The sequence below is a fragment of the Homo sapiens genome, chromosome 9 (genome assembly GCF_000001405.40).
Source record: "Homo sapiens chromosome 9, GRCh38.p14 Primary Assembly".
Lineage (NCBI taxonomy): Eukaryota > Metazoa > Chordata > Mammalia > Primates > Hominidae > Homo > Homo sapiens.
Window position 1 is genome coordinate 112532245 of NC_000009.12, and position 24614 is coordinate 112556858.

Consider the following 24614-nt stretch of genomic DNA (forward strand, 5'->3'; position numbering starts at 1 on the left):
TCCAGTCTTCAAATAATTTGCAAGAGTAGCACAATGAAAGGGAGATGCATTTTAAATCTTTTATTAAATCTTTTATTTTTTAAGTAAAATAAATGATACTTTTCTTTTCAGTTTAACATTTAGAGATACATTCAAAGGGACTTCTTTTTGTCCTTAAACCAGAGGAAAACTCTTTTTTTCTATTATGGCCCTTATCCCTAGGGTAGTGGCCAGTGCCCTGCCTCTTTCCTTTCTATCACTAGGAAATATCATTGCATGCAAGAGAATAGGGACTGGAGTGATCCTTTCTTTGACTGTTTCCTGGAGGGAGACTGTTGTAATAGAAGGTTCTGATGTGTGTATAAAACAGTAGTGGGATTACCACAGCACTGGTAGTCCAGCTCTGGAGTTAGGATTGCAACATCAAAAACTGGGCCAGCATTCAAGTCGTCTCATTTCATGGTGTTACTGGGATTAGTTCCTCCAGTTTGTTAGTGTACTGCTGTGTGTGGTATAAGCTAGTGTACCTTTCAGCAGACTGCCCATGAATTCTTCATAATGGGATTTAGCAGTACACTAAGATGATATTCAAGAACTGTACTCAATGGTAATGCCTCTTTTCTTAATAATGGCTCTCAAATAGCCCTTGAAAATCAGTGCAACAAAACTTGGCCATCTGTTTACAAAACTTTCCAAATTGAAAAATAATAATCTACCATATAATAAAGCATTTTAATATGAATTTTAAATGTATATTTTTTTTTCAGATACCTGATTATAAAATATTCAGGTAGTACAGCAAAAATGAAAGCTCTTCAATAATCTTACCTTCCTCCCCCCAAATTTAAGTATACCCTTCCAGATTTATAAAATATGTGTGTATCTATGTATAATCTGCATTTTCACTCAATAGTATGTCCACTTTCCACCATTTTAAGTAATGCGTCAGTGAGTATTCTTATATATATAAAGTCTCTAATTTTTTAAGGGATGTATTAATCTGTTCTCATGCTGCTGTGAAGGAGTACCTCGAACTGGGTAATTTATAAAGAAAAGAGGTTTGGCCAGGCACGGTGGCTCACTTCCAAAGTGCTGTAATCCGAAGCACTTTGGAAGGCCGAGGCAGGTGGATCATGAGGTCAGGAGATCGAGACCACCCTGGCTAACACGGTGAAACCCCACTCTACTAAAAATACAAAGAAAAAAAAAATAGCCAGGCGTGGTGGTGGGTGCTGTAGTCCCAGCTACTCAGGAGGCGGAGGCAGTAGAATGGCGTGAACCCGGGAGACGGAGCTTGCAGTGAGCCAAGATCGCGCCACCACACTCCAGCCTGGGCGACACAGCGAGACTCCATCCCAAAAAAAAAAAAAAAAAAAAAAAAAGAAAAGAGGTTTAATTGACTCACAGTTTCCCATTGCTGGGGAGACCTCAGGAAACTTAAAATCATGGTGGAAGGCACCTTTTCACAGGGTGGCAGGAGATAGAATGAGTGCAGGCGGGGGAAATGGCAGACATTTGTAAAATCATCAGATCTTGTGAGACTCATTCACTATCATGAGAACAGCATGGGGGAAACAGCCCCCGTAATCCAATTACCTCTTCCTGGTTCTGCCCTTGACACGTGGGGATTGTGGGGACTATGGGGATTACAATTCAAGCTGAGATTTTGGGTGGGGACACAGCCAAACCATATCAATGGATGACTTCCTGAAAGAATTGCTGGGTCTGTGAGTATACATACTGTAAAATATGTGCAAGAGAGACAGTAGAACATAGCTGCTAAGTACAGAGCCTTGGAGTCATTGGCTTGAGTTTGAAGCCTGGCCTCACCATTTCCTAGCTCTGTAACCTTAGGCAAGTTACTTAACCTCTTTGTGCCTTCATTTCCTCATCTGTAAAGTGGGGAATAGCAGAAGTACCTGTGTCATGACATAGAGCTTGGACTTGTGCCTAGCTCATAGTAAGAGATTATTATACATGTCTCAAGATTACTGTTCAGAAAGCTGCATATCCATGCGTATATCTTGTCACCAAAGGAGCCTAGCGTCTAGCAGAGGCATGTCAGAATGAAAGGACCAACAGTGGATGAGATGGCCTTCCACTGCTCATTTTTGCCATCAGCACTGATTATTATTGCACGTTTTAGTATCATTCTAGTCAGCCAAAAAATGATGTCAGGGTATATTAATTTGCATTTTTAATTAGTAAGATTGTGTATTTTCAAATACATTTTGTGAGCATTCGTTGATGTTTTTTCCTACTGTGAAATACTTGTTTGTATCTTTTGCCAGTATTTATATTGGGATATTCATCTTTTTCTTTTTTCTTTTTTTTTTTGAGATGGAGTTTCGTTCTTATTGCCCAGGTTGGAGTGTGGTGGCATAATCTTGGCTCACTGCAACCTCCGCCTCCCGGGTTCAAGCGATTCTCCTGCCTCACCCTCTTGAGTAACTGGGATTATGGCATCCACCACCATGCCCAGGTAATTTTTTATATTTTTATTAGAGATGGGGTTTCTCCATGTTGGCCGAGCTGGTCTCAAACTCCTGACCTCAGGTGATCTGCCCGCCTCGGCCTCCCAAAGTGCTGGGATTACAGGCGTGAGCCACTGTGCCCGGCCAATCTTTTTCTTATTGATTTATGAAAATTCTGTATATTTTAAGGAGACAACCTCTTGAAAAATTACTCAAATATTTTCCCAGGGTTCTTTTATTTTGTTTATGTCTCTTGACTTTGTTGTGTGTTAATTTTTTTAATTGACAAATAAAAATTGTATATATTTATGGTGTACAACATGATGTTTTGATACATGTATGCATTGTAGAAAGGATAAATTAAACTAAGTAACATCTCTATTACCTTACACATTTATTTTTTATGGTTGGAACACTTAAAATCTCTCGGCAGTTTTCAAGTGTACGATATAAACTATAGTGACAATATTGTACAATAAAGCTCTTGAACTTATTCCTCCTGTCTGACTGAAATTTTATATCCTTTGACCACCATTTTTTCAGTCATCCCACTGCACAGCCTCTGGTAACCACTGTTCCACTTTCTGCTTCTGTGAGTTCAACTTTTTTAGATTCCACATGTAAGTGAGACCATGTGGTATTTGTCTTTTTGTGCCTGTCTTCTTTTAACTAGCATAATGTTTATAAGATTCGTCCATGTTGTCACAAATGATAGGATTTCTTTTTTTTAAGGCTTATTAGCAGTCCATTGTATAAATATACCATTTTTTTTTTATTCATTCATCTGTTGATGCACACTTAGGCTGCTTCCATGTCTTGGCTGTTGTGGATAATGCTGCAGTGAACATGGGGGTGCAGTATCTCTGACATACTGATTTCATTTCCTTTGGATATATGCCCAGAAGTAGAATTGCTGGATCATATGGGAGTTCTATTTTTAATATTTTTTCATACTCTTTTCCATAATGGCTATACCAATTTGCATTTTCACTAACAGTGTACAAGGGTTCTCTTTTTTTTTCCCCACAACCTAAACAACACTTGCTGTCTTTCATCCTTTTTGATGTAGCTTTTTTTTTAACAGGCATGAGATATTATCTCCTAGTGGTTTTAATTTGCACTTTCCTGATGATTAGTGATGTTGAACACTTTTTTTCATCTACCTGTTGGCCATTTGTGACTTGGTTGTGATTTTTACTGTTGAGGAATTGTCAACATTGTTTTAGTCAGTTCTGACTTTTTCTTCATGGCTCTGGTGGATTGTGTCATATTGTCATACATAAGGAGAAAAGAATTTATGAATGTGATGAACATAATGGAATGTGGCTCCCTTCCTTCCATTCTCATCTCCGCTCTGTTAATTGACCTCTGGGTTCAATGAGTGGCTAATGTAACTGAAGTCCCTGGCTCTCTACTGGAAGTGAATGTAAAAGAAACTGGCACTGGACTTTCTTTCCCATGAACATTTTAGAGACCAAGCCACAGAGTGAAGACCAGGAAATTGTGGATCTTTGGATAAGCTTAGTCTCAATATTTTTTTATTTTTAGAAACAGTACAAGACCCTTTCTCAAATAAATAAATAAAACTTATATGGGTAAACAAAAGGCCAAGAACAGTGAAGGCAATCTTGAAGAACAAAGTTAGAGGAGTTAGGATTTAGCCTATAGAATACTCAGCAGACTTTTTCAATAAAAGACAAGATATCAAATATTTTAGACTTTGCAGGCTACGTGGCTTGCAGGCTATAATTTGCTGAACCCTGCTCTATAGGGTGTCCAAATTTCTTGTTAAGTTGTATAATTAAAAAGGGGTGTGCAAGGATGGGTAAATAGACCAATAGTACAGAAAGTCCAGAAACAGACCCACACATCTATGTCTTACCAATAAATGGTGCAAGTCAATTAGATATTCATATGGGAAAAAAATAAATGGATACTACTTGGGCGTGGTGGTGCATGTCTGTAGTCCCAGCTACTTGGGAGGCTGAGGTGAGGATTGCTTGAGCCCAAGAGTTTGAGGCCATAGTGAGCTATGATTGAGCCACTGCGCTCCAGCCTGGGCAACAGAGCAAGACCCTGTCTCCTGAAACAAAACAGAACAAAAAACCCAATCTTGTATCATACACTAAAATAAATTCCAAGTAGAATTTTAGATCCAAATGTTGAAGATAAAAAATAATAATAAAGATTTAAGAAGCTAACATGCCTACCTTGGGAGCAGGAACAAATATCTCAAATAAGAACAAGAAATGGTCATCATCAAGGAAAAGTTTATAAATTGGACTACTTTAATATTAGAGACTCTATTAAAAGTTATCAGTAAGAAGAGTGAAAAGCAAGAAGACACAAAGTGGGACAAGGTATTTCCTCCCCTCCCCTCCCCTCCCCTCTTCTCCTCTCTTCTCTTTTCTTTTCTTTCTTTTTTTTTGACAGAGTCTCCCTTTGTCGCCCAGGCTGGAGTGCAGTGGTGCAATCTTGGCTCCCTGGAACCTCTGCCTTCCAGGTTCAAGTGATTCTCCCGCCTCAGCCTCCCGAGTAACTGGAACTACAGGCACAAGCCACCACACCCGATTAATTTTTTATATGTTTAGTAGAGGCGGAGTTTCACCATGTTGACTGAGCTGGTTTTGAACTCCTGAGCTCAAATGATCCGCCTGCCTCCCAAAGTGCTGGGATTACAGGCGTGAGCCACTGCGCTGGGCCAGGACAAGATATTTCACAAATATAACTAATAAAGCGTTCATATCTAGAATCTTTAAGGAGTTTCTATAAATCAGTAAGGCTAAGATAGACAACCAAATAGAAAATATGCTCTCAAAAGATATCTAATTGACCAGTAAGATGCTTAACATCATTAGTCATCAGGAAAATGAAAATTAAAACCTCAGTAGGATACTATTACTGTACACCTGCCAGCATGGCTAAAATTCAAAATCTGATGATATGCAAGGTTGACAAAGATATGGAGCAACAGGAGTGCTCTTACATGCTGGTGGAAATAGGAATTAGTGTGATAACCACTTAGGAAAATTCTTTGGCAGTTATTTCAGTTATCTATCGCTGTATCCAGGCCACTCTCAAAGTTGGGGAAATAATTGGCATCCTGTTTTCAGATAATATTTAGAGCAGGGAAAATGAAACTATTATTTGAATGGAGAAATTTAGGAAAATTTTCACATTAACAAAAGAAAAAAGTTGGAAAGAATGGCAGTTTGACTAGCCCAACACAAATAGAGGGAAGAAGAGGAAACATTATACAATAATAAAAGTAAGGGGAAGGAATAAGATCATTGTATCAATTATTAGGCTAAATGTGAGCAGACTGAATTTTGCCATTAAAAAGGGCATGTCAGGTTGCACGGGTGGCTCACACCCGTAATCCCAGCTCTATGGGAGGCCAAGGCAGGAGGGTATCTTGAGCCCAGGAGTTCGAGACTAGCCTGGGCAACATGGGGAAACCCCATCTCTACAAAAAATAAAAAATAAAAATAAATAAAAATAGCCAGGAGTGATAGCATGCATCTGTAGTCCCAGCTACTCTGGAGGCTGAGGTGGATTGCTTGAGGATTGCTTGAGTCCAGGAGGTCGAGGCTGCAGTGAGCCTTGGTTGTGCCGCTGTACTCCAGCTTGGGTGACAAAGCAAGACCCTGTCTCAAAAAAAAGAAAGAAAGAAAAAAAAGATGTGTCAGACTGAACTAAATAAACCTCTGGAGAATAATGTTTATAAGCACTTCTCAAAGCAAAATGAGTAGGTGAAAATAAAGCAGAAATGAAAGAGCAGGAAAATAGTGAAAAACAAAAACAAATTTCCTCAAAGCAGAACAGCATTAGACAAAGTGGATTTCAGGTTAGAGGCACTAAATGAGGTAAAGACAGACATTATATACTGATAAGGGGCACAATTTATGATCATGTATGAACCAAATAGCATCAAGTATCATATCAGGCAAAAACATAAAACAAAAACTATTAGTAATATAAGGTGAACTTGGTAAAAGTTCAGCTATTGTGAGGCATTTCAGTATATCCTTAAGAGTATTGAATCTAGAGGAACTGAATAATCAGTAATGATAACAGTACTATATTAATATATTATCTGAGATTTATTGGGTGCTTACTGTGTGCCAGGCACTCTTCTAAGTGTTTTACAGTATTAAATCATTGATCCTCACAAAAAACTTATGATACTCAACAAAAAGGCATTTTTCCAGTGAAGATATGCAAATGGTCAATAAGCACCTAAAAAGATGTTCAGCAGCATCAGTCATAGGGAAATGCAAATCAAAACCACAATGAAGTACCACTTCACACCCACTGGGGTGGCTGTAATAAAAAGATGGACAATAACAAGTGTTGACAAGGATGTAGAGAAATTGGAACTCTCATACATCACTAGTAGAAGTTTAAAATTATGCAACTGCTTTGGAAAACAGTCTAGCATTTCCTGAAATGGTTAAACATAGAGTTACCATATGACACAGCAGTTCAGCTCCTAGGTTTATACCTGAGACTATTGGAAACATTTGTCCACATAAAAACTTGTGTGTGAATTCTCATAGTAGCATTATTGATAACAGAAGGTAGAAACAACCCAGATGTCTATCAGCTGATGAAGGGATTAATGAAATGTGGTTTCTCCACACAATGGAATATTATTTGGACATAAAAAGGATACATGCTACCATATGGGTTAACCTTGAAAACATTATGCTAAGTGAAAGAATCAAGTTATAAAAGACTACATATTTCATTTTCATGAAATGGGTAGCATAGACCAGTCTGTAGAGACTCAGTGTAGATGAGTGGTTGTTATGATTTAGAGTGGGGTTGGGAGGGGGTAATTAGGTATAAATGCTAATGGGCAGGAGGTTTCTTTTTAGGGTCATGAAGATGTTCTAAAATTGATTGTGATTCTAAAGTCAGATTTGCACAGCCTATGAATTTATAAAAAACCATTGAATTGTACTTAAAAGTATATATATATATTTTTTTTGCGGGGGTGGGGGTTGGGTGCATGGAGTCTCCCTCTGTCACCGAGGCTGGAGTGCAGTGGCACGATCTTGGCTCACTGTAACCTCTGCGTCCAGGGTTCAAGTGATTCTCCTGCCTCAACCTCCTGAGTAGCTGGGATTACAAGCATGCCCCACCATGCCTGGCTAATTTTTTCTATTTTTTGAGTGACGGGGTTTCACCATGTTGGCCAGGTTGGTCTTGAACTCCTGACCTCAAATGATTCACCTGCCTCAGCTTCCCAAAGTACTAGGATTACAGGCCTGAGCCACCGTGCTGGGCTGTAAATACATATATTTATGATATGTGAAATATGTTTTAATGAAGTTGTTATTGAAAACAAATTACGATTATGTTAATTGACTTTAAAGGAGTTCTCCAAGGTACATTTCAATAAGGAAAGCAATATGCATTATTTTGTAAAATAGTGACATATGAGCATGGAATAAATATGGAAGGATATATGATAGGTTGCCAGTTTGGGTTATCAAGATAGGAGGGTGCTGATATGGGGAAAGAGGGATTCGAGGGGAAGGAGGTAGCAATGAAATTTAGGAAAAGAAAACAACCTGTATTTAAATAGAAAGCCATGATGTGTCGTATCTCTAATTTACTTTCAAATGATTCAACAAGACAGCATGTATGCATACATAATTACATATATACACATATGTATGCACACATATAGATGGATAGATAAAGCAAAGATGGCCAAATGTAACAATTGTTGACTCTATGTGGGGGTTATATGGATAGTTATTTTACTAGTCTGTCAAATTTTATCTGTGTTTGATAGTAATAAAAAATCGGGGGTAAAAACTCCACCAGAATGTTTTCTGTGATCACATTATTGTAATATTTAAAATATTTACATATTTAAAAATTTTAGTAACACTTAATAAGCAGAAAAATGCCTTAAACATTTCAAAATCATGAAATTATTTTTCTAGTCCTTTTGCTTTTGTTTAAGTTAAATTTCTAGGCTGTTTGGAATTTCTTTTTCTTTCCTTTTTGTTTTTTTTTTTGAGACGGGGTGTCATTCTGTCACCCAGGCTGGAAGTGCAGTGGCACAATTATGGCTCACTGTAGCCTCGACTTCCCGGGATTAGGTGATTCTCCCATCTCAGCCTCCTGAGTAGCTAGGGCTACAGGTTGCCACCACACCTGGATAATTTTTTTTTATTTTTTATTTTTTGTAGAGACAGAGTTAATTGTGTTGCCTGGGCTGGTCTTGAACTCCTGGCTCAAGCGGTTGGCCCACCCCCACCTCCTAACATACTGGGATTACAGGGGTGAGTCACCGAGCCTGGCCTGGAGTTTCATAATCTATGTTTATTAATTTTGATGTGGTTTCTTTTTGATCCATTACTTTTTTTCTAGGTAAACAGTGGTATCATCTGGAGGTAATGCTGGTTTTATGATTCCTTTCCAATATTTTTGGCTTATTGCATAGGTTAGAATATCTGGAACAATTTTGAATGATGATGGGAGTAAGCGTCCTTGTTTTAAATTTTTAATGGCAGTCTTGTTTCAGTTTCAAAGTTTTATGTTTTTTGATAAATATTATTGATTGGGTTAAGGACATTTTCATCTAACATTAAAATAGTTGAGTGAAACAGAGTATCCAAATCAGAAAATTAAATGAAAAAAAAAAAAAATTAAGAAAAGCAATCCTAAAATGTAGAGCAAAAATAATACCCAAAGGTAGAGGGTGATAATCAGCCCACAGGACTGATAGAAGTTCTTACATTCAGGCAAAAACCCTGTTAGTCCTAGATGTATACCAAATCAGTATGTTAGAATAAAACAACAAAGACTGGGTATGGCAGCTCACGCCTGTAATCCCAGCACTTTGGGAGGCTGAGGTGGGCAGATCACCAGAGGTCAGGAGTTCGAGACCAGCCCGTCCAACATGGTGAAACCCTGTCTCTACTGAAAATACAAGAAAAAATAGTTGGGCATGGTGGTGGGTGCCTGTAATCCCAGCTACTCGGGAGGCTGAGGATTCAATTGCTTGAACCCGGGAGGCAGAGGTTGCAGTGAACCGAAATTGCACCAATGCATTCCATCCTTGGTGACAGAGTGAGCCTCCGTCTCAAAAAAAAAAGAATAAAACAACAAAAACAGATGTTACAGAGCCTGTGAGATCTGAGAAATACTGGGACATCACTGGCATGTGCCCAAAAGAGTTTCACTGAATAAATCTTGGGGCCGATGTGTGTTGGAGATAAGAGCTCTTCTACAAGGAAGTATGCCTATTTGCCAAAAATAAGCAAATATATTTTTCTTAGCACTGCTTTAAGGAACGTTCGTTTTGTTAAAGGTTAAAATTACTAGATGGGTTAGTTGCCTTGCAAGTATACTTTTGTGGAATGAATATGAGTGTACTCTTAATAAATCTATTGATATTTGTCATATTTTAAACTGAGTTCATATTTCCCAATATGGTCAAGAGTACAGACCATGAATATGAAAATATGCTGATGAAAATATGAATATGTTCTTAATGATATATTGATCTTTATTAAATTTTAAACCAGGTTTAAAATGTCCCAATATGGTCAAGAACATAGCTCATGAATATGAATATAAACTTATGGAAATGTTCATGAATATATTCATGTTCATTAATTTTAAACTGTATTAAAAAGTTTTCCCAATAGGGTAAAGAAGAATATATTCATGAATATATTCATAAAGAGGATATATTCATGAATATAATCATTATAAAGAAAATATTCACATTTATTGAATATTTTCACAAAGAATATATTCATATGAAGACTAAACTACTCTACAACTCTTTGCATTTTACAAATTAGTTTTTAAAATCCTGCTATGAAGCAGAGTGTAAATCATTCTACTAAAATTTCACTGAAATCTTCGAAAAGTGAAAAAGTATAAATTTGGTATCTTCAGTGAATTGATCTATTTATGAATTGGCTCCTAGTGAATAGTTCTTGGCAAATTAATTTAGAGCCCTCTCTCTCTGCATGAGATGAACCATTATTTATTACTGCATCTGCCCTGGGAAAACCAAGACAAAAAGAGGGGGATATTGAAAACAGCTGGGCTGAGTGTTCAGAACAGACTGATTAATAACACTAAAGAAATAAAGGTTCTTGTTAGAAGGAAGGCCTGCAAGCCACTGCATGAGATTTAAGGACCACAGGTGCTCAGGCTGGTGAGACTGGTATGGCAGGCAGTATTTTGGGGCTGAAGAGTTTAGTGTAGTTACCATGTGCAAAATGATACAAGTTTAAGTTTACTCATAATAGAAACTGGAAAATTACATGGCTTGCTTCGGGAGTTCCTCACTTCATTTTGTTTTGGTATTTCAGAAAAGAAATTCTGAGGCTTTAGACAGTTTGCTACTCACAGATCTCATAAATCAAGCATTCTTCATGACCTGGATCTATCTTGAGCAGATCAAAGCTCTGAGCAGCTTGAATAGTGCTCACCCAGAGGCTTACTGCCAGTAACAACCCAAATTTCTTAGCCTATTTGTTTTTGTTGTTGTTGTTTGTTTGTTTGTTTGTTTGTTTTAAAGCAGCAGTAAAACACATTGTGGGTGCACATTTTTTGGAAAAACCAGAAGTTCAAATATTAGTAAAATATTTGGACTTAACATTTTATGGGCACTCAGAAGTAACCATCAACTTCACATGTATCTCTGAGCAAAATATTAACCACTAATAACCATTAGTAAATGGATGCTGAGTGGGCCAGATCTTGCTGACACCTTGGTTATATGGTGTTTTGTGTGGGATATTAGTTTTCTGAGGTTTGTACAAAGGAATTTGTAAAATGCTTAATTTTATCATTAACTTTACCACTTTACCATTGAGCTTCTGAGCTTCTTTTTTTTTTTTTTTTTTTTTTGAGACCCAGTTTTGCTCTTGTTGCCCAGGCTAGAGTGCAGTGGCATGATCTCGGCTCACCTCAACCTCCACCTCCCAGGTTCAAGTGATTCTCCTGCCTCAGCCTTCCTGAGTAGCTGGGATTACAGGCATGCGCCACCATGCCTGTCTAATTTTGTATTTTTAGTAGAGATAGGGTTTCTCCGTGTTGGTCAGGCTGGTCTCGAACTTCCGACCTCAGATGATCCACCCGCCTCGGCCTCCCACAGTTCTGAGCTTCTTAAAGTCAATACCCATGTCCAATTTATATTTGCTGTGCTATTGCATCTAGCACAATTTATTGTGTGTAGAAGATGCCTAAAGTTTGTTTTTAATGAATACATATATGAAATGTCTGTCATGGAACTATCTATTTTCCTTTTATTTGTATTGCTATTTTGCCCATTAACTAAAGGATATGGATGGTAAGCCTTGTCTATGTCTCTATTGTCTTAGTAAAGATGCCCTTTTTTCTTGTATATCCAACCTTTGTGCACTAAAATCCTCTTTCCCCACAGCTTCACAGAATACTAGATTCATTGTTTAGCCCTTTTCTTATCTGTAGCCTTCTTTACTGTAAAGTGGAGGGAAAATGTTTAGTGATTTGAAAAGTTTCAAAATTTTTCTGTACTATTAGACTTGAATGAATGTCAGATCTGAGAGGGCCCTGCGAGACCACTATTCAATCCTTTTGTTTTACTCATGAAAAACTCAGAGTTCTAATTGCTTTCGCACTATAACTCATGCCATGCTATTTTGTAATTGCTTAGTTGTTGGCATTTCTAGCTAGACTTTAAATTCAGTGGGAATAGGGACCACATCTATCTTATTTAATGCTGTATTTCTGACACAGCACAGTGCTTAGAAGAGAATAGGTGTTCAGTTAATGGTTCAGTTATGAATAAATAAATAAATAAATAAGTCAGGATTGGTGAAGGGACTTGCTCAAAGTCATGTGACTATTTAGGGGGCAGCCCCCAGTTGCTGAATCTGTTAAGCACATTAAAAGTCAGAGCTCTGTAATCTACTCTGCCATCCTGGAGAGAGTCAAGGTCAGTGGAAATGACTAATTTTTCTTAAGTGTGTTTGTTAAGCTCTGCAACTTATACATTTCCACATGTTGGCTTTCAGTATACCGGAGACTGCTATATAGGAAAGCAGCTGACCAAGGAAATGTAGAGGATGTGCTGCCATTATTTTTGCCTTGGAGGCTTTTTCAAGAGACACTTCTACTTTTCAAAGCAGTGAAACTTCATCTTAGGAAAAGAAATTTTCCCCAGCTACAATCTAATTTTTAATCTTTTTTTTTTAATTTTAACTTTCCACACTATACCATCATATTAATCTTATTTTTAAATGTATTGTTTCTGAAATCCTGAGTGCCCCAGCGATCAAAAACTCTGCTTAGGATTCAGTTCATTAATGTGAGGGCTCAGACTCTTAAGGTACTTATAAAACCTCAAGGACTATTGATACTGGTCATTTGTGAATTCAAACAGAAACTTCCAGAATCATCATGACCTTTTAAAGTTTCATCCTTAGTTTTTCTGGTCTACCGTTGACCTCCATTAATGATCCCAAATCTGCTTGTTTTGCAGAAAATAAAATGTGTACGTGGTCACAGAAACGGTTGTTACCTGATGATCTTTAAGATCTTGGAGTATAATACTGTGGGTCATTGATGTCTTTTACTGTTAAGTTCCCCATCAGTACCTATATTCACCTTTTGACTGCATGGTAAATTGCTTTGCTTATGTATGAACTTAGGTACTTGTAATGAAGTCAGAATTTAAACCATATTGAGGGAGAATGGGAAAAAGAATAAGACTGGAAAGGAAGAAACTGTCAAGTCAGGGTTTGGCTTTTCTTGTTATATGCCATTCTATTAAAATATGTATATTTTTGTACTTTTTTTGAACATATGAAATGATCATATTTTACTTGACATTTATCACTTATTTAGCAGCAGAAAAATACATGTAAATGGAAATGCTATCATCCCTTTGAAACATGTCTTTTTAACACTTAGGATTCGTGCTATTTGCCAGGAGGGAGTTTTTCTACTTACAGAGCATCTGGGAGATGAATTGGAAAGGCAGACTTCTGGTCTGGTTAGCACTTTTGTTGTTTTTTATTTTCTTTTTGGGTCCCATATTCATGAAAGATTTGTCTTAGCATTTTTAGATAAATATTTCTTTAGTGATACACAGGTTTCTTTGTTTTTTTTTTTTTTTTTTTTTAGTGAATTTCAAAGAATAATGGCTGCCATTCTTGGATCTTGGCCTTTATTGATTTGGATATTATTGATGTATGAAATACATAAACTTGTCAGATGCTTTGTGAGTCTCTCCTGATCTTAAGGCATTTTAGAGCATCTAGTAGTAGAGTGTCCTTGAGTTAGCTAAATTTATACTTATTTTGAGGCTGGCAAATTTGTGTAATATTGATGACCTAGAAATGAGATAGGAGTTCTGCAGGACTGGTTTCACATGATACAGGTCATAAAGACCCCACTGAGAAAACAGGATGAGGTAAAGAATCTGGCCAAAACCCGCCAAAACCAAGATGCCAATGAAAGTGACCTCTGGTTGTCCTCACTGCTCATTATATGCTAATTATAATACATTAGCATACTAGAGGAAACCCCCACTAGCACTCTGACAGTTTACAGTCATCATGGCAATGTAGGGAAGCTACCATATATGGTCTGATGGGGGAGGAACCCTCAGTTCCAAGAATTCCCTGCCCCTTTCCTAGAAAACTTATGAATAATTCACCCCTTGTTTAGCATATGATTAAGAAAAACCATAAAAATAGCCAACTAGCAGCCATCACAGCTGCTCTTCCTATGCAGCTGCCACTCTTTTATTCCTTTGCCTTTTTTTTTTGAGACAGAGTCTCACTCTGTTGCCCAGGCTGGAGTGCAGTGCTTTCTTAATAAACTTGCTTTCACTTTACTCTGTCTGCTGGCTCTTGAATTCCTTCCTGTGTGAAGCCATGAACCCATGTGGCCTCCCAAACTGAACTCCAATTTTGAGGTTTGCCCTGTAGAAAGGAATATAGTTTGAATTGAACAAATATTATGATTGTTGTATATTACATGCTTCTGCTGTACTGAATTTTATGTTTCTCAGAGTTCTATGTCCTCTCTTACCTGGAATACTCTCACTCTCTCTGCCCTGTGTAATTTAATCATGGTTATCCTTCAAGTATGAACTCGTCTTTTCTCTAGGAAGCACTCCTTGACTCGTTGGGAACTAGGTTAGCTACTGCCTCTCTGTGCTCCTTGACACCCTGAGCTTTCCTACCAGAGTTGTAAACCAGAAATAAGAAATATGTATATATATATATTTTTTGAGACAGTCCCGTCTGCTGCCCAAGCTGGGGTGTGGTGGTGTGATCTGCAACCTACGCCTCCTGGGTTCAAGCGATTCTCCTGCCTCAGCCTCCCAAGTAGCTGGGACCACAGGCGCATGCCACCACTCCCTGGCTTGGCGCGGTAGCTCACTCCTGTAATCCCAGCATTTTGGGAGGCCGAGGCGGGTAGATCACCTGCGACCAGGAGTTTGTGACCAGCCTGGCCAACATGGCGAAACCCCATCTCTACTAAAAATACCAAAAAATTAGCTGGGAGTGGGGTGCGTGCCTGTGGTCCCAGCTACTCAGGAGGCTGAGGCCTGAGAATCACTTGAATCCAAGAGATGGAGGTTGCAGTGAGCCACAGTTGTGCCACTGCACCACAGCCTGGGTGACAGAGCAAGACTCTGTCTCAAAAAAAAAAAAAAAAAAAAAAAATTCTAAGTCTCCCCAACTAACTGAACGGACCCCTTTTCTGGGACAAGGGCATTCCAAAGTTAACCTGAAAAACTAGTTCGGGCCATGATGCGGGGTTGGGGAGTCAGACATGCTTCATTATACCCTCCTTCCTTTGGAGTTCAGACACAATTGGCCAGCATTAACATTAAAATAGAGACCTTAAGACTGACAAAACAGACTCTTTGTAGCAGTAAGATACCAACACGACAGAAGGCGCTGAAAGAAATTGAAGTATTTTACCCCAAAATATATTTCTTTGACATATTTTGAAATGACCCTGCGAAGCTGTCTCTTGTGGGGAAAATCTACATTCTGTAGAAAATTCCTTCCCTTTCCAGATCTTTCCCTGGTCCAGGAGAGAATTAACTTAACAGTCTCTGGCACCTTTTTAAGTCTGATTAAGAAACATTTACAATCTATTCTCTCTGAAGCCTGCTGCCTGGAGGATTTATCTGCATTATAAAAACCTTGGGCTTCAGGACCTCTTATCTTAACCCAGATACTTTTTTCTTTCTGTTGATTCCAGGTCTGTAGATAATAGCTTAACCCTTTCAACCAATTGCCAGTCAGAAAATCTTTTTTTTTTTTTTTTTTTTTTTTTTTGGAGACAAGGTCTTGCCCTTTCTCCCAGGCTGGAGTGGCATCATCTTGGCTCACTGCAGCCTCAACCTCCTGGGCTCAAGCAATCCTCCCACCTCAGTCCCCCAAGTAGGTGGGACTACAGGCAAGCGCCACCACACCCAGCTAATTTTTTTGTTGAGATAAGTTTCACTGTGTTGCCAGGCTGGTCTTGAACTCCTGAGCTCTGGCAGTCTGCCCACCTTGGCCTCCCAAAGTGTTACAGGTGTTAGCCACTGCGCCCGGCCATTCAGAAAATCTTTGAATCCACCTATGACCTGGAAGCACCCTCTTCGAGGTGTTCTGCCTTTCTGGACCAAATCAGTATACATATTACATGTATTGGTTGGTGTCTTATGCCTCCCTAAAATGTATGAAACCAGGCTGTAGCCTGACCACCTTGGGTACATGTTCTTAGGATCTCCTGGGGCTGTGTCATGTGCCATGGTCACTCATATTTGGCTCAGAATAAATCTCTCCAAATATTTTCCATAGTTTGACCCTTTGTGTCATCATATCCAAATCAGGCTATATTGTTGTTACTTGTTTTGTTTAGATTTTGAGCTACTAGATTGTAAGCTCTGCGAGGACAAGCAATGTATCTTTAAGGTAACATTGACTCTTTGGTGCCTTGGCATAGTATTTGCTACATAGTAGTCTTAATGTTTTTGGAATAAATGAATAATTTCAGCATCTTGTTTTTCCAAATATTTCTCAGCATTGCTATGGGCTGAATATAATCATATTTAGAGATAAGGTCCTTAAAAAGGTAATTTATGTTAAAATGAGGTCTTTAGGCTGGCCTCTGATCAATATGACCGGTGTCCTTATAAGAAGTAGAAATTTGGATAGAGATTTGTACAGGCACAGAGGGAAGACCATGTGAAGACACCAGAAGAAGACAGTCATCTAGGAACTAAGGAGAGAGGCCTTGGGATAACCCAGTCCTGCTGACAGCTTGGTCTCGGACCTTTAGCATTCAGAACTGTGAAAAAATAACTTCCTGTTGCTTAAGGAATCCTGTCTGTGGTATTTTGTTATGGCAGCTCTAGCAAGCTATATAAACATAATAGCAAATATCTGGATGACTAGATTATATAGTGTTTAGTTTTCTGACATGTCAAGAAAAATATTTCATTCAAGATGGTAACGACATATGCACCTTTATATTGCTTGACAGATAATATAAACTCAGTAATGGCATTGTGGAAAAGGACTGTAACAAACATGTTTCCATATCCTCATTTCTCTTTCTCAATAAAGTTCAGATTATTTCCCTTGGGTTTTATAACTCTCCGTACTATTACAAATTATTTTTCATAACTTGTATCTTGCTACTTCCCTTAGCCTATTCTAGTCTCAAGGAAATGAAAGTGTTTGCTGTTTTCTGTATATCCTTAACTTCCCACTTTCTTGTCTTCACTCATTGTTTATGGACTTTCAACACTGCTTTGTTCTATTCATTTAGTTAGTCCACAAGTATTTATTGATGCCTCAGTGTGTGCTGGAAACTGGGCTAGGAGCTGAAAGTATAATGATTAATAAAACCATAAGCCTTCTGCTGAAGGAGCTAATACTCTGGTAGGGGTAGACATTTAAATAGGGTAACATAGGGCTCCAGGGAAGCAATGGACCAAGCCTTCGGTGGGGCGAGGGGAAGAGCTGCAGAAATGAGTCTAAGTCAGTGGTTCTCAAATGGGGATGAAAAGGGAGGAAGCATTTAACAATGTCTGGAGACATTTTTGGTTGTCACGACTTGGAGGTGGGTGTATGCTACTGGCATCTAGTGGGTAGAGATGCTGCAAAGCATATTACAGTGCACAAGATGGTCTCCCACAACAAATAATTATCTAGCTCACAAAGTTGATAGTGCTGAGGTTGAGAAATCCTGCTGTAAATCAAGTTGTAAAATTTGAGTAGGAAGGTGTTTTGCCAGCCAAAGAATGGCAGCATTTGCAAAGATCTACTAGAGTTGAGTTACCATGATTTGGCTAACTGGACTGAGTTTAATGTGGCTGGAGCTCAATGTTTGAATGGGAAGGAATTAGGCTTGAGAGGTAAGCCTGGCAATGTTCAGAGTTAGAGGCCTCAGAGCCGTGTTGATAATTTGGGATGTCTTCTCTTTGGCTGTTTGGAGCCTTTGATGGAGAGTTTGAGGTAAATCTGTTGATAAGTAACTAGTAACCATTCTGAGTGTATCTGCAGACACTAATGGTAAAGCACTATGGCTGAGAATAACTATTCTAGCAAGTCTGAACTCTGGGTTACCCATCTAGTGAGGATCACTGATGAATCTATGTAAGGGAGGATAACTGCTATGGTTTGAATGTGTCCCCTACAGATTCTGTTACTGAAGGGGCATTTAAAGTGAACCCACTTGAAGTAGGGATACAAATTTTATCATAGAGAGTGAGGGAACTTGACTGGGGCTTTGTGTTGGGGTCCTCAAGACCACCTCAGGCTGTGATTCACTAAAAGGACTCACAGAACTCAGAAAGCTGTTTATGCTCACAGTTATTGTTACTACAGCGAAAGAATACAGATTAAAATCAGTGCAGGGAAAAGGCAGACGGATGAAGTCCTGGAGAACCAGGAGTCAGATTCCAGGTAGGCCCTCCCAGTTGAATCACATGAGGAATGTCTCCCAACGACAATGCATGACAAAACATGTGAAGTATTACCAACCAGGGAAGCTCACCCAACCCAGGTGTCCAGGGTTTTTATTTGTCAGTCATGTAAACTTGTATCACCTGTGTGAACCTATCACCTGTGTGAACCTGTGCGACTGACCTTAGTTACTCAGTCTCCAGCTCCTCAGAGGTCAGACAGGTACAGTGTGGCTCAAGGCTACCAGCAAAATACTCTTATGAGGAAGATATTCCACAAACTTAAGAGTTTCTCTCTCAGGAGCCTGTCATGGGTCAGTCCTCCTTTCTTTGAATGAATGGGGTTTGAGCAACCTTGGCCTGATGAATTAACACTTTACTGCATAGTTGTTTTTTTTTTTTTTTTAAGTTAGGGAGGTTATAGTTTTGTCTTTCCCTGTTTTACTATGAGTTTTTAAAAATTGTGTAAAATATATATAATATAAAAGATGTTAATTTTAACTGTACAGTTCAGTAGCATTAAATGCATTCACATGTTATATAACTATCACTGTCATCCATCTCCAGAACTTTTTCATCATCCCCAAACTGAAAATTTGATGTGTTATTAAAAAATAGCTCCCCATTCCCTGATCCACCAGCTCCAGGTAACCACTGTTGTACTTCCTGTCTCTTTGAATTAGGCTGCCCCAGGCACCTCATATGTAAGTGGAATCATACGGGATTTGTCTTTTTAACTAGCTTCTTGCACTTAGTATAATGTCTTTTAAGTTTCATCCATGTTGTTAGCCAGTATCAGAATTTTATTCCTATTTAATGCTGATATAGCACAGGCTTTAATTTGAAAACATAAACTGAAGATGGTAAAAAGTATTTTTTAAAAATCTTATATTCAACAAAAGTTACATAATTGAAACTGTGCTAATCCTTAAAATGTAAAAGAAGTGACTTGAGTACTCATTTTAGGGACATAGTTTTTCTGACAAAATTATATAAGAACATAATACAGTATCCTTTACCAGGTCAAGAAGAGAGGGATGTTTTTGCAGAAATGTCCCTTGGCTTCTCTAGTTTTCCCAGGGGCCTCTCTCAGTTCTTAGAGAGTTAATTCATTCTCTTTTGAAGTACCTGTTGTATCATCCTTGAGAATTCTCCACAGTTGCTGTCTGATCTAATTGTATCTGGTCTAACTCTGCCAGACGTTCCTTTGTTAAAATGGCTTTGCATGTGATTAAAGCAGTTCTCTAGCATTGTTAAGTGACTGACTTGTTCAAATCCTGCATCTTTGGTGGTTTATAGTTCCAGTTTATGTTCATCCTACTTGTATAGTCTCATGTTTCCAGCATCTAAAAATCAGAGTGACATAAACAGGTTCCCAGAAGTAGATACTAGGTGGGTAGTTTGAATGGGGACTGGTCAGCTCATTGGTGAATATTTTTGTGTGTGACAGCTTTTGCCTCATCATTATAGGGTCATAGTTAATGAACATCTGGACCACGAGGATCCCTGTAGTTTTATTTGTGAGAGTATTGAGTGTTTGCTTAACAATCTGTTAGAGAATTTAGTTCACTTACATGTCCAGGGCCCAAAGTGAGTAAATGTTCCTCACAGAAACCTCTGGAACATGCTTCTTTAAGTTGCCATAATTTAAACTCTCAAAGTTGGGTGGACTGACAGAGGATTAAGAGTCTTTGGTTTTAAACCTTTACCATTCTTATTTCTAATGCTCAGTCAGCTTACACCGTGTTCATAGTAATCCACTCTCAGTGTTCACAGGCCTAATGTGTTAACTATAAATAGAAAAGTAGACTGCCAGCCTGTGGGAACCAGGCCTGTGCCAGGGAGGGTCATTATAAGAGGCAGTCACTCTTCACTTGAGAGGTTTAAAAACTGAAAATGGTGGATATTTTTTCCTCACATCCTCGTGAAACAGTGATGCTTAATGTTCAAATATGTTATAACACAGGATGATTAGCAAGAAATCATCAACATAGTGAATTTGGGATTACTCACTTAAAAACAAGGAAAACGCTCCTCTTTCCCTCTCCAGTGCCTTAGTCAGATATTCTGGGGTTGCATGTGTAGGGTGGAACATTGGCTACAGCTCAGGAAGCGAGAGGGAGGAGATATCCATTCATGATCATCTTCAACAACTCTTAGCTCCAAGTTGGCATGCAGCTGTGTACAATTCAAGTCGGCATGGAGCTGTGTACCATTCAAGTTGGCATGGAGCTGTATGCCATTTCTTTGGAGTAGTGCAGCACATCATCCCTTTATGATGGGGAAGAGCGGGGAGCACTGAGCCTGGTGCGCGCACAGGGTTCAGGAATGTCACTTGAGAGATGGCATTGGTTAGTAGTACTCACCCCGGGTTAGATCACTTTGGTTTGAATCCTGATTCCTTCCCCCATCCTCTGCCCTCCCCTCCACACCCTTTTCCTTTCCTTTCCTTTCTTCTCCTCTCCTTGTCCTCTCCTCTCCTCCCCTCCCCTCCCCTCTGCTCCCCTCCCCTGCCCTCTCCCCTCTCCCCTCTCCCCTCCCCTTCTTTTCCTACTTTTAGACAGGGTCTCACTCTGTCACCCAGGCCAGAGTGCAGTGGTATGATCGTTGGCTCACTGTAGCCTTGACTTCCCAGACTCAAGCATTCCTCCTGGCTTCAGCCTCCCAAGTAGCTGGGACTACAGCTCATCTAGCTAATTTTTTTGTTTTGTAGAGATGAGGTTTTGCTGTGTTGCCCAGGCTGGTCTTGATCAAACTCCTGGGCTCAAGCCATCCTCCTGCTTCAGTGTGCTGGGATTTCAGGTGTGAGCCACCGCACCTGGCCCTGGTTCCCTTATTTACTAGCTTTTTGACATTGGACACATTTCTTAAACTTTCCAACTCAGTTTTATCTGTAAAATGGAGATAATAATAGTACTGCCTTATAAAGGTCAATGTGTTAATATTTCTGATGTGCTTAGAATAGAGCTTGGAACAACATAGTAAGTGCTACATTACACTGTGTACTGTTATCTTTATTGTTAATTTCTCAGGGGAGCCTTTGAAGACATTTCTAAATAGGTCAAATCTCTGCTTTATAAGATCTAATGACGTCACTTATCACACAGTGTTGATAATGAGTACCAGTAACTAGGTTTATTTGTTTCATTATGGGATTAATCAGATACTTTCTACATAAATGAGAGTAAGAACCATGTTTATTTTTTGTGCACATTGTTCACAAGGCCTGATAAGTGTTCAAGAAATATTTATTGAATGAATAAATATTTTCATAGTTATAAAGTAGTTCAGCAATAAGATATAATTTCACCTCTAAAACTAGCAAAGATTGAAAAAAATAATGCCATCATACCTAGGCAGAGAGGTAGGAAATAGATGGTATCATGTACTGTAAGTAGGATCAGTCTGCAGCAGAGCCTAGCTTAAAGGCAGTTTGACCAAAAGAACTACAGAAATTTCTTCTTTTGATTCTATGTCTCAGCATTTATCAAAATGACATAGAGGTATGTAAAAAACCGTGAATATAAAAAGATGTTCATGAAGGCACTTACATTAGTTAATAATTAGAACAGGCTGGGTGCGGTGGCTCACGTCTGTAATCCCAACACTTTGGGAGGCCGAGGCGGGCGGATCACGAGGTCAGGAGTTTGAGACCAGCCTGACTAACATGGTGAAACCCCATCTCTACTAAAAATACAAAAATCAGCCGGGCATGGTGGTGTGCGCCTGTAATCCCAGCTACTCATGAGACTGAGGCAGGAGAATCGCTTGAACCCGGGAGGCAGAGGTTGCAGTGAGCTGAGATCGTGCCACTGCACTCCAGCCTGGGCGACAGAATGAGTGAGACTCCATCTCAATAATAATAATAATAATTAGAATAGAGCTAAACAAAATGTCCAAAAGTAAAGGATTGGTTAATTATAATATATCCATCATTAAAAATTATGTAGAACCATGGTTCTCAAATGCACATTCTTATATTGGCTACAAACACTAGATAAAAACACAGATTCCCAAACCCAACCTCTTGGTCGGTGACTCAGAATCTCTGTGGTTTAGCTAAGAAACAGGTCCTGTATTTTCTAACAAGAATCCTAGGTGATTCCACTGCACAGCCTGATTTGGAAGAACCCTGGGCAGTTTCATTGCACAGCCTGATTTGGAAGAACCCTAGATGATTTCACTGTACAGCCTGATTTGGAGCCACTGTTACAGTGTGTGCATTGGCTCCTAGTCAGCTGAGCCCAGGGGTCTTAAAACCAAATGAAATGACAACTAAGAAAAAAGAGTTAAAATCTGTGAGGACTCTGGAAAACAAGAAAGGAGGACTTCAGAAGAACTAAAAACAAAAATACTGCAAGAAGGGAAAAAGATTGAATCAGATTCTGACGACACAGAAAGGTAATTAGTGCTGAGCACCTAACACAAGTCAAAGAAAAGTCTTCTCCCCTAACTTTATCCTCCCAGAAAAATTAGTGGGTGAGTTCTTCCAAAAGGAACATAGACTGTCCCCAAACTGGAGCAGCAAGGCCTGGTTTGGAGGTGGTAGGCGTGGTTGCTTGTTCCATCTCCTGGGCACAGAGCATCTGTCTTAGAGCTTACCTCCAGGCAATATTTTGAAGGAGTGTCTCATTAAGAGTGAGTGTCATTTATAGTTTTAGTTGCCATGGACATTCCTGAGATCCCATGAGCAGAGGCCAGGCAAGTGGGAGAGTTGAGAAACAAGTAAGACAGACATTGCACTATACAGAGTGGGTGATCATGGTGTTCACCCTCCTGCCTTGATAAATGCCTCTTGGAAACCAAGTGCCTCAGCTCCTTTCTGCTGCTGTAACAAAATATCTGAGACTGGGTAATTTATAAAGAACAGAAATTTATTTCTCATATCTCTAGAGGCTGGAAAGTCCAAGATCAAGATTCCAGCAGGTTCATTGCCTTCTGCTCCATGGATGGCATCTTCTCGTCTTCTCACAGTATGCTCACAGTATGCTCGCATGGCAGAAGGGGCAGAAAAGGGACAGACGCTGTGCGCTCGAATAGCAGAAGGACCTAAGCTAGTTTCCTCCAGCTCTTTTGTAAGGCACTAATCTATTCATAAGAGTGGAACCCTCATGACTTAATCACTTTTTAAAAGCCTTCACTTCTTGACCCGGTGCGGTGGCTCACGCCTGTAATCCTAGCACTTTGGGAGGCCAAGGCGGGCAGATCACTTGAGGTCAGGAGTTTAAGACCAGCCTGGCCAACATGGTAAAACCCCGTCTCTACTAAAAATACAAAAATTAGCTGGTCCTGGTGACACGTGCCTATAATCCCAGCTACTTTGGAGGTTGAGGCAGGAGAATCACTTGAAAACCTGGGAGACAGAGATTGCAGTGAGCCAAGATCGCACCATTGCACACTCCAGCCTGGGGGACAAGAGTGAAACTCTGTCTCCAAAAAAAAAGCTTCACTTCTTAAAACCGCAATGGGGATTAGTTTCAACGTGAATTTTGGAGGGGATACATTCAAACCATAGCACCAAGTGAAGTTTAAAATACTGCATGACATCTTGCATCTTCCTTAAGTAGACCTCAGCTGGCTGTCAATTTCTGTCCCTGTTACCTGCAAGGTTGACTCAGCTTTCGGTTTCTCTCTACCACGCCTCCATACCCAGGGCAAAGTCTGCTGCCTGCACACAGGTAGCTACTGGCTGAGTTCTTTGAAGGGCACTGGGGTTCGGTTTGAAAGTTTTGCTACCAAATACACATGCCCTTTCATATTCACATCACTCCTACTTAATTCACAAGCTTTGCTCTCCACTTTTGTTGTAAATTGTATATAGTACAGCCCTCTCTTCACTTAGACTTCTTTGTAAAAATTATAATTTTTTGTAGAGATAGGGTCTTACTGTGTTGCCCAGGCTGTTCTCCACCTCCTGTCCTCAAGCAATCTTCCTGTCTCAGCCTCCCAAAGTGCTGGAATTACAGGCGTGAGCCACTGAGTCCAGCCCACTTAGGTTTCTTTAGTGAACTAGGCAAAAGATTGTACAGGCTTTCTGAGTCAGTTTGATTGCAATGAAAACGATGCATACTTGTTGAAAGATTTTAATCTAGGGAGTGTTGCAGTTGGATTGTTGACCCCTCCCCTCTCTGAATCATTGCTATGCTTAATGTAATCCTGAATGGGCAGGAGTGCCCTCTGTTCTTGTCAGATTGGGCTGGGGGTAGTGGGGC

General features: G+C 39.4%; 1 protein-coding gene across 4 annotated transcripts in view, besides 6 other annotated features; it reads left to right on the forward strand.

Moving 5' to 3' along the window:
- KIAA1958 overlaps positions 1 to 24614 on the forward strand; it is a 182571-nt gene that overhangs the window by 45418 nt on the left and 112539 nt on the right. The window contains exon 1 of one of the 4 annotated variants that reach the window (XM_011518311.3): positions 1386 to 13473. The exons of the other annotated variants lie outside the window; for them this stretch is intronic. The gene's annotated coding sequence lies outside the window, so the exon portion shown is untranslated. Of the gene's footprint in view, positions 1 to 1385; positions 13474 to 24614 lie in introns of those variants that run through there. 4 annotated transcript variants of the gene reach the window in all.
- Positions 13945 to 14239: an enhancer, noted in NCBI's record as "tiled region #4745; K562 Activating DNase matched - State 5:Enh". NCBI's record gives its function as "activates a minimal TATA promoter and a strong SV40 promoter by Sharpr-MPRA in K562 cells {active_cell/tissue: K562}" and the evidence as "EXISTENCE:reporter gene assay evidence [ECO:0000049][PMID:27701403]".
- Positions 14871 to 15422: an enhancer, noted in NCBI's record as "OCT4-NANOG-H3K27ac-H3K4me1 hESC enhancer chr9:115309395-115309946 (GRCh37/hg19 assembly coordinates)". NCBI's record gives its function as "activates a minimal SCP1, AML or CMV promoter by ChIP-STARR-seq in primed H9 embryonic stem cells {active_cell/tissue: H9 hESC(primed)}" and the evidence as "EXISTENCE:reporter gene assay evidence [ECO:0000049][PMID:30033119]".
- Positions 15423 to 15975: an enhancer, noted in NCBI's record as "OCT4-NANOG-H3K27ac hESC enhancer chr9:115309947-115310499 (GRCh37/hg19 assembly coordinates)". NCBI's record gives its function as "activates a minimal SCP1, AML or CMV promoter by ChIP-STARR-seq in naive and primed H9 embryonic stem cells {active_cell/tissue: H9 hESC(naive and primed)}" and the evidence as "EXISTENCE:reporter gene assay evidence [ECO:0000049][PMID:30033119]".
- Positions 15976 to 16527: an enhancer, noted in NCBI's record as "H3K27ac hESC enhancer chr9:115310500-115311051 (GRCh37/hg19 assembly coordinates)". NCBI's record gives its function as "activates a minimal SCP1, AML or CMV promoter by ChIP-STARR-seq in naive and primed H9 embryonic stem cells {active_cell/tissue: H9 hESC(naive and primed)}" and the evidence as "EXISTENCE:reporter gene assay evidence [ECO:0000049][PMID:30033119]".
- Positions 18405 to 18699: a silencer, noted in NCBI's record as "tiled region #8480; K562 Repressive non-DNase unmatched - State 15:Elon". NCBI's record gives its function as "represses a minimal TATA promoter and a strong SV40 promoter by Sharpr-MPRA in K562 cells {active_cell/tissue: K562}" and the evidence as "EXISTENCE:reporter gene assay evidence [ECO:0000049][PMID:27701403]".
- Positions 19343 to 19850: an enhancer, noted in NCBI's record as "NANOG hESC enhancer chr9:115313867-115314374 (GRCh37/hg19 assembly coordinates)". NCBI's record gives its function as "activates a minimal SCP1, AML or CMV promoter by ChIP-STARR-seq in naive H9 embryonic stem cells {active_cell/tissue: H9 hESC(naive)}" and the evidence as "EXISTENCE:reporter gene assay evidence [ECO:0000049][PMID:30033119]".